At 49.2% G+C, this 19,351-nt stretch overlaps 1 protein-coding gene across 8 annotated transcripts in view; it reads right to left on the bottom strand.

Moving 5' to 3' along the window:
* The window catches only part of SLC24A4 (solute carrier family 24 member 4), a 178,901-nt gene that overhangs the window by 54,055 nt on the left and 105,495 nt on the right, over positions 1-19,351 (bottom strand). For 7 of the 8 annotated variants that reach the window (NM_153648.4, XM_011536436.3, XM_011536437.3 and 4 more), the window contains 7 exons: positions 13,439-13,515; positions 8,018-8,092; positions 5,254-5,338; positions 4,611-4,714; positions 3,953-4,027; positions 2,085-2,110; positions 3-56 (listed from right to left, as the gene is read on the bottom strand). In NM_153648.4, the coding sequence (NP_705934.1) occupies positions 3-56; positions 2,085-2,110; positions 3,953-4,027; positions 4,611-4,714; positions 5,254-5,338; positions 8,018-8,092; positions 13,439-13,515 (496 nt within the window). The remainder of the gene's footprint in view (positions 1-2; positions 57-2,084; positions 2,111-3,952; positions 4,028-4,610; positions 4,715-5,253; positions 5,339-8,017; positions 8,093-13,438; positions 13,516-19,351) is intronic. The other variant, XM_005267342.2, reaches the window with a different exon arrangement.

Genomic DNA, 19,351 nt, shown 5'->3' with positions numbered 1-19,351 from the left:
ACTTCATGATCAGAATATAAAACACATACAAGATGATGAGCACCAGGCCTTCCCACCTCAAAGAGAGAAAGGAGATTGCGGTTAGAGCTCGGGGCCCGGGGCAGGTGAAGGCTGGGAATGAGGGGTCCAGAAGTGGGGAAGGGCGGGATGTCTTTACCTCCCCCGCCCCTAGTGCCGGGCCCAGAACCCAGGCATGTGAGAGAGATCCCCCAGCCTGTGGCTGTCTTGCCACCAGCAGCCCTCTTGATGTTCAAGCGAGAAAAGCTGAGGGGTCTCTTCTCAACTATAGAGGTCTGCAGGACAGAGGTGGGGTTCCCTCAGCTTCCTAGAAAAAGGAGGGACTAGGGCCACCATGTCCCAGTATTCACGGAGGCTAGTGGCGTGGCCTGAAGTCACACAAACTCGACCCTGAGAGACCCTGTGATCACCCAAGATTCTGGGCAGGAGCCAGAGAAGCTGTGGGTGTGGGAGGAAAGGGGCCCCAGTCCCGGAAGTAGGGCCTGAGAGCTGACTGAATATGCGGCAGGTGGCACAGGAGCCTCCCAGGCCTTATGCTGCCCATGGAAGGCTGGGGTCTTCCTGGGATGCAACCATTACTACCCTCTGGTGCATCCCACCCAATCCCATTAGCAGTGGGGATTTCTGTAGCTCTGACCACAAGCCCCTGGAGCAGCACACAAGCTTTAGCTTGTTCATTCACTTGACACATATAAACCAAAGCCCACTATGTGTCCAGCATGGGCTACAGTTGTTTTGGGAGCTCTTCCTTTGCTAACCTCCAGATCATGGAACCACTGCCATCTCAACCCTGTCTACAGATGACGAAAATGAAACCCAAGAGTTCAGAGGCTTTCCTGGGGCCACACAGCAGATTGGGGGCCAGGAGAGGACCAGAACCAGGTTTCTGGGGGCCCATAGCACACAGCTGCTCAGGGCAGGTGGCTGATGTCCTCGGCCTGATTGTCTGACTCTCTTTCCATAAATAATCATACAGGACACAGCCTGTAATCCAGACACTTTGGGAGGCCAAGGCAGGTGGATCACTTGAGCCCAGGAGTTCGAGACCAGCCTGGCCAACATGGTGAAACCCCATCTCTACAAAAAATTAAAAAATTAGACAGGTGTGGTGGCATGCACCTGTAGTCCCAGCTACTTGGGAGGCTGAGGCACATGAATCACTTGAGCCGAGATGGCACCACTGCACTCTAGCCTGGGCGACAGAGTAAGACCGGGTCTCAAAAAAAAAAAAACATAGAATGCACGCAGATTCTGAATCGTTGGCAATCAAAAGAAAATTTTTATGAGTTACAAATGTAAGATGCATTCCCATGCTATCAAATAGAGTGGAAACATCAACCTGTTCCTCAGAAGTTTGTGATTTATGTATCTGTTTTGGGGGACGGGGTCTCACTATGTTGCTCAGGCTGGTCTCAAACTCCTGGGCGCAAGCCATTCTCCCACCTCAGCCTCCTTAGTAGCTGAAATTACAGGTGTGAGCCACCATGCCTGGCTATGTATCTTAATTAGGAAATCAATTCCTACCTCAGTGTCTTAAAGATGAGTCTCTATATTTTCTTTGACATTTTCTAAAAAGTCTCAGTTTTACAGTAATATCTTTAAATCACCTGGAGTTTACCCTTGTATAAGGTGTGAGGTAGGGATCTGATGTTGTGTTGTTCTGTGTGGATTCCCAGTTGTCCCTGCAGCATTCAAGACTCTATTCCTAACTCACTGCCTTATTATGACATCTCTGCAATGTCCCCCATTCCAGAAATAGGCCCATTACTGCATTCCATATTGGCCTATGCATATCCCTTTGCAAAATACCATACTGTTTTCAGAATTTTTGCTTTATAATATATCCTGATACCTAGCAGGCTGGGACTATTAAGGGAAACAATTTTTCTCACTTTGACAGGATAAAGAAAGGCATGACTGCTTAGAATATCTTTTTTTCACTTTCACAAGTTAATAAGCTTAAGTTTATAAAAATAATTTTTAAAACGATTCAGGGAACCCAACAAATAAGGATACTGGAAACAACAACAAAAAAGAACAATGAAAACTACACTTGAAAAACTTACCACACAATTTGTTCATCATATATGAACTGTAAGGCAAAAGAAACAGAGTTGAGGTGGGTGGGACATATTTATTTCCAAACAAGAACAAGCACGGACACCCAGGCACCCAGAGCCAATTTATACTGGCCTTGTTATATGTGTTATGGGTCCATTTCTGAGCTGCTCACCTACGGGCCTTTCCTTAGTGTAGCCTAGGCCAGCAGTGTACTGTATCACAAGGCCCCAGCTTAGCATGGCCACCCCCAGAGATACGTCCTGTGCTTTATAACAGTCCAAGTAGCTGCTGGGGGCTAACCTGGCAGAAGCCTCCCCTTATTCATGGAGTAGAGTTGCTACAATCAAGAAATCTCAAAGACTGAAAGATAGCTAAGTGTGTGTGTGTGTGTGTGTGTGTGTGTGTGTGTGTGTGTATGTGTGTGTATATAGGGTGTGTGTGTGTATATATGGTGTGCAAGTGTTGTTGGAGGGTGTATCATTTTTTTGTTTTTGAGACGTAGTCTTGCTCTGTCTCCCAGGCTGAAGTGCAGCAGTGCGATTTTGGCTCACTGCAACCTCCGTCTCCCAGGTTCAAGCAATTCTCCTGCCTCAGGCTCCCAAGTAGTTGGAATTACAGGCATGCACCACCAAACCCGGCTAATTTTTATACTTTTAGTAGAGACAAGGTTTCACCATGTTGGCCAGGCTGGTCTCAAACTCTTGACCTCAAGTGATCAGCCCGCCTCGGCCTTCCAAAGTGCTAGGATTACAGGCGTGAGCCACCGCGCCCAGCCTTCACTTCATTTTATAAATCAAAGAGTTTTTACATCGTTTTAGTGAATCCTTAATTTTCTAGTAAGGTAACTGTCATGCAAATTAAGGAATGATTATACTTTGCTCTGTTTGGAATTTTATCAGCAGTCATTCATTATTGTGGAAAATCACATCATCAACATCGGCACCACCCACGGGGCTTAGGTGCCAGCCCATAACTTGGGCATCAGTTTGCATTTGTACTAGACGGTCTCAGAGATTGTTTTTGTGTGGGAGGGAACCAATCCCTTCATTGGATCTCCTGGCATATCCGTGCCAAAACATTTACATACTGAAATATGTATTCTTTTATTATAGATTATATTTCTCCTTTGTATTATAGTTAGGGCATATGTTGACCTTTTTGAAATCATGTATCCGTAGATTGTTTTATCTGTAGAATCATCGCAGACATCTATTTTTTGGGGGGTGTGGTAGGCAGCCTGTAGGGGGGTCCCCATGCTCCCACTGCGTGACATTCATGCTTCCCTAGCATGTGGGCTGCACCTGGTGACTTGCTTCCAACAAACAGAATACGGCATACACGGCAGGTATCACTCCCAAGAGCAGGTTAGGAAAAGGCTGTGGCTTCCACCTTGGTGCCTCTGGCCCTCGCTCTGAGGGAAGCCCGCCACCCAGCTGAGAGCTGCCCTGTGGAACAGCCAGTAGCCCAAGCCCTGCCCACAGCCACATGAGTGACCCTGCAAGCGCAGCCCTGCCCGCCAAGCTCTGCGATGATTCTACCCTGGCTAAGGCCTTAACTACAGCCCAGCAGAGGACCTGGCCTACAGGACCCAGCTGTACCATTTCTGACTGGTTTCTCAGCAGTTTGAGACAAAGATTTATTCTCTCCTGCTTTCTGTGGGAGAGGTTTTGGGTCTGAGGTTTTGGGGAAAGGGAGGCACAGTGCTGGGGGTCGGGGCGCTGGTCACTGTGACCGCAGTGAGTGGCTGGCACACCCCACTATTGTGTGCTGTGAGTCCTCTCTGGTCACAGTGCCAGGGGCAGAGATGGGCAGGGGTCCTGTGCCTTCGCAGGGTCCCAGCCAACCTGACCTTGGGGGCAGAGGGGCAACTCACCACGATGAGCACGATGACAGAGATGGTGTAGTACACGGAGTCTCGGCACACGGCCCACCACGTCAGACGGACCACCTGCCAGCAGAGCCCCGTCGTTGGCTGCTATGAGCGCAGAAGCGGGGAGGGGGTGCAGCTGCCCAGGCCTCCTCCCCCCGCAGTGCAGGGCATGCCCACAGAGCTCCACCTCCTAACTCCAGGCCACGCTTGTTCTTTGTTATAATTTGGGGAACAGAATGAAACCAAGTAATGTTCTCAAGCCATGGCAAAGCTGCCCTCTATTCCTCTGAGGTCAGAACAGTGTGTGTTTCACAGCAGAGGCCAGAGGCTCTCGCTCTCCACCGGACCCTGGCACTTTCAGGCACAGTCGGCTGCCCACTTCCATCTCCCTCTGCAAGGCAGGGCCTCACTCATGAGCCCGCCTCTCTGAGGTCAAGTCCAACATTCCCCCTGGGGCTCTGAGGATATCTAATGGGGTATCAATGACAATCCAGCTTCATGCTCCCTGTTGGAGAGGCCAAAACCAGGCCCCAAATGTATCCAGAATCCAGCTCAGCTGTCCTGTGGGCGTCCCCACTGCTACCCCAACCTCTTGTCATTAGAGGCTCATCCCCCACGCTTCAGGGCATGCATCTGCCGGGCCCAGGGAGAAACCACTGACCTGGCCAGCAAACAGTCCGCACACTCCAATTATGCACAGGATGTTGAACACAGCAGAGCCCACGATGGTGCCCACCCCGACGTCCCCATGGGTGATGAACACCCCTGGAAAGGAAACACACAGACCCTGGGCCTCAGCCACACGTCCCCAGCCTGCCCCTTCCTCAGTGTCCCCCTTTCACAGGAAAGTGGGTTGCTTTACTAACAAACAGAGCACCCGTGAAGCGGAAGAGAATGGCAGAAGCAGTGGCAGAACCAGGGAGGTGGAAATGCCACCAGGGACCAGCTACTCCAATCTTCCCTTTTTCTCTGAGCAGCTTTACTCAGATATAATGTGCATGCTATAAAATTTACCCATTTAAATATACAATTCGGTGGTTTTAGTATATTCACAGAATTGTGCAACCAAAACCACAATCTAATTTTAGAATATTTTTATCACCTTAAAAAGAACATTTTTATCACCCCTCAGCACCCTACTCTACCACATGCCCCAAGAAACCACCAGTCTACTTACTGCCTCTCCAATTCTCCCATTTTACAGATGAGAAAACTGAGGCTCAGAGCTGACAAATGCCCCCACTGCTCTGGGCACCAAATGGACTCTCTAGATCCTGTGTCTCAGGCTGGAGGGGATTTCTTACCAATAACAGACGCAAACAGCTCTGGCGTTGAGCTTCCTGCAGCCATGAAGGTGGCTCCAGCCACATCTTCGCTCAGATGGAGTCTCTGAAACGGAAGTGACCACAGACCCTCAGGGTGTGACGTGGGGGTACTGGACATCACTGGACGCTCTACAGCCAAGGAGCATGCAGGAGAGCAGTGCTGCAGCCAGAGGCAAACTCGTCTGCCTGCAGCCTCTCACCCCTGGGCACATGCTGTGTGCCCTCTGCCATCTGCCCTCCAGCCTCCACCAGGCATTCCACTCAGAGCCCCTTCCCCACCCCCAACTATCTCCTTTCTGTTTGTCCTCCAAGCCCGTGACCAAATAATGTCTCCCTGATGAAGTCTTCCTAGGCATCCACTCAGAGCTAGCCACTTCCCTCAGATACACGATGTGTTTTATCTGCTGTTACTGAAACGTGAATTTCACATGAGGGTTTGTGGTCCACACGCTTGCCTTCCCTCACCGGATGATGAGGGCAGCAACTGGTCTTTCCCAACTTTGCATCCCTGGTGCCTAGAACAGGGTCTGGCACAGAGTGGTGCTCCACAGGCACACACTAGTCTAGTGACCATCCCCTCCCATGCCGGTTTTGGGTACTGGGGGCCTCAATGAGAATGTCAGCATTGTGGATCTGGAGGCCTCTGGCCTGCAGCTGGGCCTTGCATTCTGGAAGGCCTTCTCCACGGCAGGCCTGACATCCAGTGGCTCACAAAGACCCAGAGGTACTGGTTCCAGGGTTAAGCTGGCACGGGACAGGACGGGAACTCATGGTTGGGGCCTGTTCTGCCTGTCCGGGTCATGTCTGGCCACAGAGCCCATCCTCTGATCCGAAATGCAGCGCTGGAGGCTTTGGATGTTTGGAGAAACCGTGGAGACTGAGGGTCTGCCTGAAAACCAATCTGGAGGCGCCCACTCTGCGGTTCTCAGAAGGCCTCTCAGGACAGGGCTCACCTCCACCAGCCCCAACTCCCAAAGTATCCCTGAGCAGCCCTGGGTTCTGGGGCCACCAAGGAACCCACTGGTCAGCTAAGCCTTAGAGGGGTCCTCAGAAGGGTTAGAGCTCTGGGCTTGACGGAGTCTGGGGTGGGGGCACAGCATCGATCTCCAGGGCAGAAGCCGGCCACCTTAACCCTGCCAAAAAGCACGGTTCCACAGAAGAGGCTCTGCCACCAAAGGATCTCCAAAACTCTCAGCAGAACCCAAACCATGCTGCCTCCTGTCCTCCCTCCTCCCTGCCTTTGCCTGGGCCATTCCTTCCGCCTGGGATGCCCTTCCCTTCCCTTCCCTTCCCTTCCCTCTCTGCTTGCTAAACTCCTTCCCACTTCTGAAACCTGGACCCAATGCCACCTCCTCCATGAAGCCTTCCCAGATTTCTCCCCCAAGAGAGATGCTCCCCCTCTCCCTTTGGCTCCCCTGTCCTTTAATGTCTCTCACTAAGCCCTTGACATTGGTCTTACCTACAGAGCTAAGACCACCACCCTTGCTCACCTCTATCCTTAGGGATACAGGTAACCCTACGGGGTGCATGCACCTCCACTGTATGTGGCCCTACACTGTAGTCACCCACCTTTCACCTTCCATAGGCTCCCATCAACCCCATTGCTATGGCCTCCCCAAGCTCTCAGCCTAGCGGGTGGGTCCTAGGTGTGTATTCAGTAAGGATCAGCTGACTGTATCCTTCCCAAGGGCCCCCTCTGGAAGGCAGAAGCAACAACACTTAATAACCGCCATCGCTGCAGCGCACACTCCACAGGGGCCCTGGGTGGACCCTCCCACACGATCATCCCAGTGGGCATTTCTGGACTCTGTTCCTCACCCTCCTCCCCTGGCTTCATTCCCTCACTGACAAGCGTCTGGATGGAGGCGAGCACATGGCTCCATCTGAGGGGATGTGGGGTAAGGGGAGGCCTTTGCACACGTTTGCCAGGTCACCGCTTGGGGGGCCCAGGTCCAAAGCAGCCAGTCCCAATTCTGCAAGGACACTGAGCTCCCCAAGCTGGGCCCAGCAGGGGGAAAGTCACGGGGAAGCACCTGCCCTGAACAACCCACCCTCCCAGCTGCAAATGTCACCATGAAGACATGGTCTCAAACACGCGGGAGATTTCACAGGGATGAAGGGTGGTAAAGCCCTGGGCACTCCACACACAGGAGGTGCTGCAAACGGAAGTCAATTTCCTTCCTTGACTAGAAGCCAAGAATAAGGTGGAGCAATGAGATACACTGGGATCTTGTGTATGAGGAGAAATAAGGAAAGAAAGTCAAAAACTAACAAAATAGTTGTGGGGAGAAAACACCAGCCTGCAAAGGTCAGGACAGAGGGGAATTCCCTGCTGCTGCAGCTTGGCGTCCCCCTGGCGGGGTGGGGGTGGGCCCACCTGTCACCTGCCACTTGCAGCTGGTGACAGGCAATGCTCCACTGCAGCTGGCAGGCCTGCCTGGGCTTTGTACTTAGCCAGGTTGGACACAAGTGCCAACAGCCTGCTGTGGACCCAGTGGTTCTGGGTAGTGATCTCACACTGGGAGTGTTTTTTTCTGCCAAGTTCTGGGAGAGGCTGCCATCCACCAAGACCAATTTGAGGGTTTCTGGCGAGGCTTCGCCATGGGGCAGACACTAAGTGCTCGGTGTGACAGTCTTTGCCACCAGCATGCTCCCCACGCCAGCCCTGGCCTTCTTGGCTTGGCATTTATGTCCCACATGTCTTCAAGGCTTCACCAAGGTGTCCCAAGTCCCTTCCACATACCTCACAGATCTTCTCTAGAGACGGAACAAAGAAGTCATCGCACACTATGGCCAAGGCATAGAACATATACAGAGCCTGCAAAGGAGAGAGGAGACAGGCAGGGTCGGTGAGGGTCCCTGCTGCAGCTGCAAAGGGCCCACCACACCCCAAACCAGGCTGCCAGGGCAGAGGCCAGGCGGACAGAGCGGGGCACACAGGAAAACTCCAGCACCATAGATTTCGTTCCCTCAATCCCCTTATTGGCAAATGGGGAAACTGAGGCCCAGAGAGGAGATAACATGCTGAGCAGTAGAGGGGATGAAAACTCAGGCCACTGCGGCTCATTCCTCTTGTGATCTAATAAGAAACATATATTTGGTCTCTGCCCTTGGTTTCTGGCACACAATTCTCGAAACCCCCCGGAACCTCGGGCATAATAGGAATATCTTCTACAGGTTAATGAGGTGACTGGTGGCTGGGGGCACCTCGGTAGCTTCAGGATGGGGGCAGGTCACCAGAAAGACCAAGGCAGGATGAGCGGGTTGGGACTTTAAGCCCCAGCCCCCAACCTCCAGGGAGGAGAGAGGGGCTGGAGGTTGAATTGATCACCAGTGGCCAATGATGTAATCAGTCACGCCTATGTAATGAAGCCTCCATAGAAACCCTAAAGGATAGAGCTTAAGGAGTTTCCCTGATAGCTGAACACATGGAGGCTCCTGGAGGGTCGTATGCTTAGGGAAGGCGTGGAAGCGCTGCACCCCTTCCCCCGATACCTCGCCCTACACATCCCTTCATCTGTATCCTTTTTTGTTTGAGACAGGGTCTCACTCTGCCACCCAGGCTGGAGTGCAGTGGTGCCATCTTGGCTCACTGTGGCCTCTACCTCGTGGGCTCATCATCCTCCCACCTCAGCCTCCCAAGTAGCTGGGACTACAGGTGCACACCACCACACCCAGCTAATTCTGTTTATTATTATTATTTTTGTAGAGATGGCGGGGGGAGTCTCACTATGTTTTCCAGGCTGGTTTTGAACTCCTGGACTCAAGTGCTCCTCTGACCTCAGCCTCCCAAAGTGCTGGGATTACAGGAGTGAGCCAAAGCACCTGGCCCTGTATCCTTGGTAATATCCTTTATAATAAATTGGTAAATGGAAGTCAAACTGTTTCCCTGAATTCTGCGAGCCGCTCTAGCAAATTAATTGAGCGCAAAGAGCGGGTCATCGGAATCCTGATTTATAGCAGGTTGTTCAGAAGCACAGGTAAAACAACTTGAGGTTTGCAACTGCCGTCTAAAGAAGCAGTCTTGTGGGACTGAGCCCTTGGTGGGTGGGAGCTGCCGCTGTCTCTAGGTACGGTGTCAGAACTGAATTGAGTTAGAGGACACCCAGCTGGTGTCTGCTGAATTCTTGGCATGTGGGGAAAAAACCCACACGCATTTTGTTGTGTGTTTGTTGAAGCAGAATGTGGTGAGCAAATTTGAGAGCAGGAAAAACACTTTTTTTTCTACTCTCTCAAGCATCTCTTCTTAAAGCAGCAGCTCTCTGTCCTAGCACCAGCGTCTGCCCTCAACAGGCAAGATCTAACCCTAACAGCCAAGAAGGAAAGCACTCAGAACCGTCATTTTAAGAATTTAAAATAATAATAACAATCCTGATTTGCTCCCTTTAATTTTAGGGAAGGCACTAAAGTGACGAACTGCCCATCCACTGCCAAAACAAATGGCAACTTGAGATCCAGCATTTCTTGGGATGCTACTTAATAATGCTGGCACCATTAAAACGCACAGGTCATTGACATTCAGAGGTTCATGGAGTAAAGAACCCAGATTCTAAGGCTGGTTCTGGAACTGACTTGCCATGTGACTTTGGATAAGAAACTTTTCTAGGTTTTGGTTTCAGCATCTGTCTCATGACGAAGTAAGAACAGATCAGCAGTTTTAAAATGGTTTTCTATCTGGAGCCTCTCTCTGGCCCATCCCTCTGTTCAGCAGCCAGCACGGCTTCACTGAGCTCATCCTGTGTGCCAGGAACTACCGAGGGGATCAGAGATACAGTGGTGAGGAAGCCAGGAAAACCCTCGCCTATAACTTACCTTAATGGGGAACAAAGAAGCAAATTGGCCAGTAAAATATCTACCAGGAAACAGCAGTGCAAAGGCCCTGAGGTAGGAGTGTGTTTGATGCCTTTGAGGAACAACAGGTAGAATAGAGAGAGTGGAAAACAGAGAATATGAGGTTGGAGGGAGAGGCAAGGATCAGGACCCACGGAAAAAGAGATGGGTTTTGCTCTAAGCACTGGGGGAAGCCATTTCTTTCTTCAAAGAAAAAGTGCTATGGATGTCCTGTTTGCAACAGAGAAAGGCTGGGCTACTTCAGCTAAAACAGTGATACTCATCAATTTCACCATTCATTCATTGGGATTAATAAAGTAGAAGATACATTAGCTGCATCCAGGGCATCTGAGGCAGGTATCTACTGGATTTGACTCATCGTCAACATTTTGGGGAAGAGAAGTAAAAAGAAACAAATAGCAGGGGTGTGGGTAAAGGGGAGAAGGCAGGTGGGGGAGACCCTGCTACGAAGCTTAGGATTCTGACTTGAATTCACACTCACAGCAATCCCCACCAACATCACCTCCCGAGAGGCCAAAAGGCCTCTCTCTCTTCTGAGCCCTGAGAAACAATGAGGAGAGAAGATGAGCCAAGATGGCGCCCCGATTTCCATCTCCTGGGTCACGGAGCACTGCAGGCAAAACTGGCCCCTAAGCTAGGTTCTTTTTGTGCTCTAAAGAAGAGGTCAGCATTCATCTACCCATTCAAATCAAAAAAAGAAAAAACGAGAGGTCAGCAAATTTTTTCTGTAAAGGGTTAGATAGTAATATTTTAGGCTTTGCTGGCCAAATAGTCACTTCCACAACTATTCTGCTGTTGTGAAACAAAAACGAGCCATAGAATGGGTGTTGCAGTGTTCCAATAAAACTTTATTTATAAAAACAGTTGGTGGTATGGGGGTGATAATATTTTAGGCTTTGCTGGCCAAATAGTCACTTCCACAACTATTCTGCTGTTGTGAAACAAAAACGAGCCATAGAATGGGTGTGGCAGTGCTCCAATAAAACTTTATTTATAAAAACCATTGGCGGTATAGGGGTGATTTTCCCATGCTGTTCTCGTGATAGTGAGTGAATTCTCACGAGATCTGATGGTTTTATAAGGCAGTTTTCCCTGCTCTTGCATGATCTCTCTTCCCTGCCACCGTGTAAAATGTGCCTCCTCCCCTTCTACCATAATTGTAAATTTCCTGAGGCCTCCCCATCCCCATCCATGAGGAACTGTGAGTCAGTTAAACCTCTTTTCTTTATTTAAAAAAACAAACAAACAAACAGTTGGTGAGCTGGATTTGGCTCTCCAGCCATAGCTTGGTAACCCCTCCTCTAAAGGGTTCCTGTGAAATTCCCACGGTGCACTCAGGTTCAGCAGAAACCTGAGGTTTGATTTCAGCTATGCCAAGACTTTCACGAGGCAGGACCACAGAACTGTGGGACCAATTAGCCACATCCACAGTCCCTTAGTGAAAGGGGAGGAGTGTAAAGCCAGAGAAACTAGAAAGATAATAACTCTGTTATAGAAATAATAAACAGGTCTGTCGTTCAAAATGTGCCAACAACCCTCATTCTAGTCTTCATTTTCATTAATGGCTTACCCTGTTAATTAAAACTTCACCCATTCTTTATTTTCTGGTTGTTACTACCTATGTGGGAATACCAGATTTCACTTTCTTAATGATCTCTTGCAAAGAGTTAATACTGGGTTGGGCTTAAATATACAAGCAGATGGTGCTGGATGGTCAGGGAAGCTGATCAGGAGGAAAATTTGCTGTGGTTGATCCAAAGCAGAGAAGCAAACCTTGACCAGCTACATTTCTCCACACCACACAATAGAGTCAGCAAACCTTTTCTGTAAAGGGGCAGATAATAAATATGTTTGGCTTTCTGGGCCAGGCAGTCTCTGATGCATGGACTCAGCTCTGCCTCTGAAGTGAAAAAATAGATATTACAGAAATGAATAGGAGTGTCTGTGTTCCAATAAAACTTTATTTACAAAAATAGGCATTGAGCCAGACTTGGCTAGGGTTGTAGTTTGCCTATTCCAGCACAGAGAGTGACTTGTAACTTAGGTTTGAACCCTTATTTCTTTTCAAATTACTACCTGACCCCCCTTCCACCATTTGTCATCAAGGTCCATCTGAATAGGGAGGGAAGTTTGAGAAGTACAACAAAGTTTTAAACTACAGATGCTCCTAGACTTACAATGAGGTTATAGCTTGATAAGCCCATTTTAAGTTTAAAATACTTTAAGTGGGCCGGGGACGGTGGCTCACACCTGTAGTCCCAGCACTTTGGGAGGCCGAGGCAGGTGGATCACCTGAGGTCAGGAGTTCGAGACCAGCCTGGCCAACATGGTTAAACCCCGTCTCTACTAAAAATACAAAAATTAACTGGGTGTGGCAGCACATGCCTGTAATACCAGCTACTTGGGAGGCTGAGGCAGGAGAATCTTTTGAACCCAGGAGGCAGAGGTTGCAGTGAGCCAAGATCGCGCCACTGTACTCCAGCCTGGGCGACAGAGCGAGACTCCATCTCAAAAATAAATAAATAAATAAAATACTTTAAGTGGAAAATGCATTTAACCCAATTAACTACTGAACATCATCCCTTAGCCTAGCCTACCTTAAACGTGCTTCAGAATACTTAATTAGCCTACAGCTAGGCAAATTCATCTGGCAACACAGTACCCTGTGAAGTATTGGTTGGTTGTTTATGCTCATGCCCACGTGACTGACTGGGAGCTGCAATTGGTGCTACTGCCCAGCATGAGGAGAGAGTATCACTGGCCCAGAAAAAGATAAAACTTCAAAATTCACAGTATAGTTTCTTTATACTTCCAGAACAGTGATACTGAATATGTCTCACTTTTGTAACATCATAACACTGAAAAATAGTAAGTGGAACCATCCTAACTTGGGGACCATCTACATAGTGATGTAAAGGTATTAAAATTTAGGGGTAGTCATGGGAATCAGGACAGCAGGCATTTGTAGGAGTTATCATGTGCCACGCAACACTGATGCCCTTGACCCATATTCACTCATATTCACACTCTGTAATAGGTACCATCATCCCTGTTTTACAAAAGCAGAAAATGGGGTACAGGAAAGACTTGCATTCCTGTGTTGGTCCTGGGGCCACTAGCTGTGTGACACTGGGTAAGTCTCCTAACACGTTTAAGACATCCTTTCTGTGTGGGTAAAACATGCCCAGTCTCCGCTCTCCTCACTGGGCTGTTACAAGAATAAAAGATCTCAGACACGCCACGGCTCTGCCCCGCTGTGCAGAGAGGCTTCATGTGCCAGAAGTTTTGTGACCACTCTGGGAGGACGACTTACACCAAGGATGTGCAGCAGGACGGCTCCGTGCTGTCGCTCCTTATTGGAGAACAGATCTGTGGGGAACTCGTGAATCGCTGGAAGACAGGAAGAGATGGCAGAGTGTTAGTTATCTATGGGCCTCCCGACAAACCTCACTTGACTTCTGAGAGTTCACTAAGGAACTGCAGAGCCCACCTCGCTTTGGACTGATCAGAGAGAAGGCCAGCCATTTCTCAGTCCAGGGGCAGACCAGTGCTCTCAGGAAATAGTTGCTGGATACTGGATTATGCAAAGATATTCCAGCCCCTTAGAGTGATGATGTTTTAGATATGTCTTGCATTTTAAAAAACAGTATGAAACACTTCCCACATAATAGGATGGCTAGAACCCAGAACAGATAGTAGTAAGTGTTGACAAGGATACGGAGGTACTGGAATTTCAAACACTGCTGGTGGAAATGTAAAATGGTACAGCCCTGGGAGGCAGTCTGGCAGTTCCTCAAAAGATTAAGCATAGACCATATGACCCAGCAATTCCACTCGCAAGTATAGACCCAAGAGAAATGCAAGCAAATGTCCACACTAAAACTTACACATCAATGTTCATAGCCATATTGCTCATAACAGCCAAGATGTGGAAATAATCTAAATCAAATGCTTGGGGTTTGAGTATCATTCCTGCAACCCCAGGCAGCTCTGAGCAACTCATCTGCTCAGTAATAGAGGAATAATCCCTTCTCACCTGCCACTGCCACATTCAAAATCATCAGCAGATAAGCACGCTCATGAACGGAGGTATACACGAATGAATTCCATTGTCACAGATCCTGTTTAGGGCACTCTCAGATCTCCACCCACCCTCACCACACCAGCTAAACTGGAAGCTTCTGGAAGGCAAGGATCCACACTTCCCTGGTCACCATTGCATCCTCAGTACCTAGGCCAGGCCTGGTACACAGTAGGTTCTCAATCAACCTTAGTAATTGACTGAATAAACAAAGGTTAAAATATTAACAAAAATAACAATATGTATCGTCTCATCTTATTAGAATACTTTTATTACCCTTGTAAACCCCTTAAACACAGGGAATGACACCTAGTTCATTGTGGGTGCTTGATAAATGCTTGTTAAATAAACTTCCAGGACAGAAATCCCTTCTCTGCAAATATAATTGGGCCCTAAGCTCTGAAAATGATGCTTTCTCCCTTATATGGAAATTTTTCTGATTTTTCAGATCTGATTCTCTCGGCAAGCCACAGAAAACACCAGCTCCCCAGACACCCAGAAAATGTTCCCACTTTGAAACAAGCAGCATTTAACGAAAAATAGATTCTTTCGCTTCCCTCACATCTCTCTCTTTTTTTGTAATCAAACTTCTTTAATAGAGTTGCTGCTGTCGGTTCAAGGGCATGGATTGGCTTCAAGGTTTGTCAGCTCAGAGATGGAGAATTACATAGGGAGAGACTCGGCATTGTTGAGGCCAAGATCTTACTTCCAGGAGAAATGCAGCTGCTGGGATATTTCAGTGCAGATCAATAGACATTTCTGTCATGAAAATTCGAGACATTTCCTGATTCTCCAAACCAGGGTTTTGAGAGCTGACTGATTTATCCAATCCTGGGAATTAGAATAACATCTTTAAAAATTTTTGAAAAATGAGAAGTTTTGAAAATTAGAACAATGTCATGTCATCTTTCTGCTGCTGGGGACATATCACCTGACCTCCAGCAGGGAAGGGGCGTTGGTTCTAAATGGCTTTGCCCTTGGTAGGAACAGACTTCTACTCAGCCTCACACCTTGCTCTGCACACCCATGTGTATCCTGGAGGGCTGTGGAGGAGAATGAATGGCATCTATGGCCTTAATTTTGCCAGCAAAGACAGTGGTCACTGGCAGAGTTCCCGGCTGCCTGTGCCCCACCATCCTCCGTACCCATCCACACCTTCCTGGTACATCTTGAACCCACAAGGCAGGCACTAGAGCCATCAACGTTCCTGTTTTCAGGTGAGGCTCCGAGAGGGAAGTTAGCAGCTCAGAGCACCCAGGCATCTACGCCAGCACTCACAGTGGGACCTGATGTTCCTCGTCCAAGGTTAAGCCCCACCTCTAACACTGAGACGGTCTGGCCAAGTGGAAATCACGCCACACTGTCGACTGGAGTCCTAGCTCGACTACGCATGAGCTTGTGCGAACCTGGTCACATCATGAAACTTCTCTGATCCTCTGTCTCCTCAGTGGCAATTTGCTGCTACTTCTACTTGTTCAGCCTCACGCCTTGCTTTGCACCCCTGTGTGCATGCTGGGGGGCTATGGAGGAGAACGAATGGCTTCTACGGTGACGAATCAGTCATCCTTATTATGTGCGGCATGCCCTGGCATGGACATCAAAGGCTGCGAGCAGGCAGATATCCACCCCACCCTTCCCAGTTGGCTGCTGATAGCCGGGATCAGTCTGCTCCACAGTTCAGGATTAAAATCCTCTAGACACTGGCATGGTGAAGGGGGTGGGTATAGACCAGGACCCTGTGGCCTCCCACCCTTGTCACTGACAGCAACAACTTGGAACTGCAGATGTCCCACACAGCTGTTCCGTGCACTGTCTCTAGCAGCCGATGGACTTAGATTTCAGGAAGTACCTCTGCTCCTAATGACCTGTGGGACCTGGGCAAGCTGCCTGACACCTCGGGGCCTGTTCCCTCACCTACGAATGGAGATCACAGCAGAACCTGGGCCGTAAGAAGTGATACTACTGAGCTCAGCCAGGCTGCCAGTCACTCAGCATCATTAACTTACAGACTCATTCCTTGACATCCATTCTGTCCCCACAACTCCACAGAACACACAGCCTTGGTGTATGAAAGCTAAAGAGAAGACAAAGCCTTCTTGGAGAAAGAGAGAAAGAGCAAGACAATGAGAAAGTAAGAGATGATTTGGGCTACATGAGAATCTGAAGCCTGGAGCAGTGTAATCCCAGGTTCCTGAGAAAGCCTTCCTTCTCCTCCCATGGGCTTCCTGGGATCAGGAGCCACTGGGCCATGTTCAAGGGCGGGATGCTTGCGTGTCTGAGGGGGCTGAGCCTGCTCTGTCTGCTCAAATCCCCACCAGGGAGGAGGGAGGGATCAGCAGGGAACATACACACGGCTTTTGAGGTCATCCTTAAGCCTTTAAGCTGCAGAAATCTGAAGGTGGAGGGAGGAGGGAAGGGAGAGATGTATCTGCAGGTGGAGCTGGGCTCAAGGAACCAGGGATGATCCCAGCCCCCACCCCTGCCCTGGGGACATGGAGTGAAGGGAAAGGAGGGACAGGAGGGAAGCCAGCTGCTCCCCACTCCCCTTTGGACCTTGGTGCCCAGAAGTGGCTTCCATCACTCTTGGTCCTGGACACACCCAGGTGTCCTCACACCCCAGGCATCTGCCTCCCTCCCGTGCACCCATCCTCGACTGTGAGCAGGGCCCAGGGAAGCTGGAGGAGGTCCTTCCTGCCAGTTGCCTTCCTGAACATTGGATGGGAAACTCCAAAATCCTTGGGGACAGAAGCACCTCCAGTGCCCTCAGCACCCTACAATCTGCCATTCGGAGGCCTCCAGGCACACCTGAGCTGTTTTCTTTACACACAAAAAGCTCCACGGTGACGCTCTGAATTAGTGCTGCCCGTTCAGGGATCCAAACTTTCACCAACATTGCTCCTGCTTCTCAAAATGGATGGATTTATTCAACAGCATGTACAGAGCACCCACTTGGTAGCCACTGGACTGTCTAGGAATGGCTGGATGAGACCCTGACGGACCCTGAGCGCCCTCAGATATGGCAGCTCTTCCTCTCAGAGGGTGGCTTGACTTTTGGGGAAAGGCAAAGTTACTCAGAAGGTGGAAGGTTATTGAGGTGGGAAATCCCCTGATCCAGAAAGAATGTGAATCGATGCATGTTTCTTGAGCAGTTACTATGTGCCAGGCACTGGATTAGGCACAGAGCGTCACGGACGTGCCTGGTCTGTAGGACAAGTAAACAGACGACCAAGAGACAGTGAGAAGCTTATTGCGATGGTGTGGAGTAGAATAAGTTAGGGGTCACTGACCTGGGAGAGTTGTTGGGGAACATGCAGCCAGCCCCAGGAGAGGGTGATGCCCACATCAAGCCTTGAAGCCTGCTCCCAGTCAATTCTGAGAACCTCATTATTCTCATCTTATTGAGAGGAAGTGGAGGCTCTGAGAGACTAAAGTCACCTACAGTCACACAAACACAGTCTGGCACAGATAAGAGAAGAACCCAGCTTGGAAGCCCAACTAATACCAGGCTCTCTTTATTGGAGCATGTTACCCCCAGCAGATGCACATCTCAGGACTAAGGTCTCCTCCATCCAGGAGCAGGCCCTCTGTTCTTGTAAGCTCTAAGGGCCATGCCAAGAGGCCACGCTCTGAAACATACATTGGATTTTGTAGGTCAATTCTGCCTGCAACCCAGAATTCACCCATACAGAGGTCTAGGCCATTATTAAATGGATCCAGAGAAAACCTGTCACTTACATTCCTTGATCTTGAAACATTTAATACAAGTGACTGCTTCCTATTTGTATATGAATGAACGTATGTGTATATAAATGAACAGATCAATCTACTTATCTATCTCACATACTTATCTATCTCACATACACTAAAACTCATTCTTCGTGGTTTGAAGTTCAATGGGTTTTGAGAAACACCTACAGTCGTGTATCTACCACCATACCTCAGACAGAATAGTTCCATCACCCCTAAAATTCCCTTGTGCTGCCTTTTTGTAATCACCCCTCCCTGCACCCCTACTCCTGGTTGTTTAAGCTGCCCAGTTTACCATAGTTTGTTATAGGAGCCTGAATGCACCGAGACACGTGGGAAATGGAATAATCAAATCCAATAACATCTTGTGCAGAAATAAGAAAGTGGGCACGATTGCCAGGACAGCCTCTCGACACTTAGGTCTCTATAACCTCGACTGCCAGTGGAAACACATCCCTATCTGGTGTGCCATACCACTGACGTTTCCTTTCCCCATATTTGCCTTTTCCAGAGCACCATATCAATGGAATCATGTAATATGTAGCCTTCTTAGTCTGGCTTCTTTCACTTAACAAAATGGTTTAAGATTCGTCCATATTGTCGGGTGATCCCACTTTTGGAAACATTCTTGCTTAGCTTCTTTGGCCTCCCATCTCCTTACTCAACTCAGTCTCCTCTAGGGGGTCCCCTCCCCCCAAGGGACTCTGAACTGAATGCTGGTGGTCTAGGGGCTTCACCCTGGGCCCTCTTCTGCCCATGTGACCATTCCCTGGCTTTGACTTTTTAATCTCCACATCCAGCTCCCAAATTTCAATCTTCTCTGAGCTCAAGACCTAACATGTCCGGCAGACAACTGAACATCATTCCTCAGCCGTCCTATAAACACCTTCAACTTGCCCTCATTGCATGGCCTCCCATCCATCCAGGTCTGCATAAAACAAATCCTGACATTGTCCTTGATACGGCCTCCTTCCTCATATGTTGTGACAGGTAGACAGGCCAATAGGCACTCAATGTCCTTCTCTATTTCCTCCCATGAACCTCCCCCTCAGGGACCCTAGATATGGGTGCGCAGGCTGTGCACTGCAGGGTCATACAGCCCAGTCCTACTTCTCATTTGGAGGAGCTTGGCCCCCTTGCAGCTAGGGTTCTGCATGTGAAGTAGGTTCTGCCAACCTAGGGGACTCAGAGGGCAGAAAAGAGGCAGTGTGTTCTTCCTGCTGCCATTTCCACTGGCAACCAAGGTTACACAGACCTAAGCGTCAAGAGGCTCTCCTGGCAATCATGTCCCCTTCCTTATTCCTGCACAGGATGTTACTGAACACTTGATCATTCCGTTTCCCACTTGTCTCAGTTCATTCAGGCTGCTATAACAAAATATCATAAACTGGGGTAGCT

This window comes from Homo sapiens, chromosome 14 (assembly GCF_000001405.40).
Source record: "Homo sapiens chromosome 14, GRCh38.p14 Primary Assembly".
In the NCBI taxonomy this organism is placed as follows: Eukaryota; Metazoa; Chordata; class Mammalia; order Primates; family Hominidae; genus Homo; species Homo sapiens.
The sequence above is the reverse complement of the archived record's forward strand: the minus strand, read 5'-3'. Positions and strand labels throughout refer to the sequence as shown.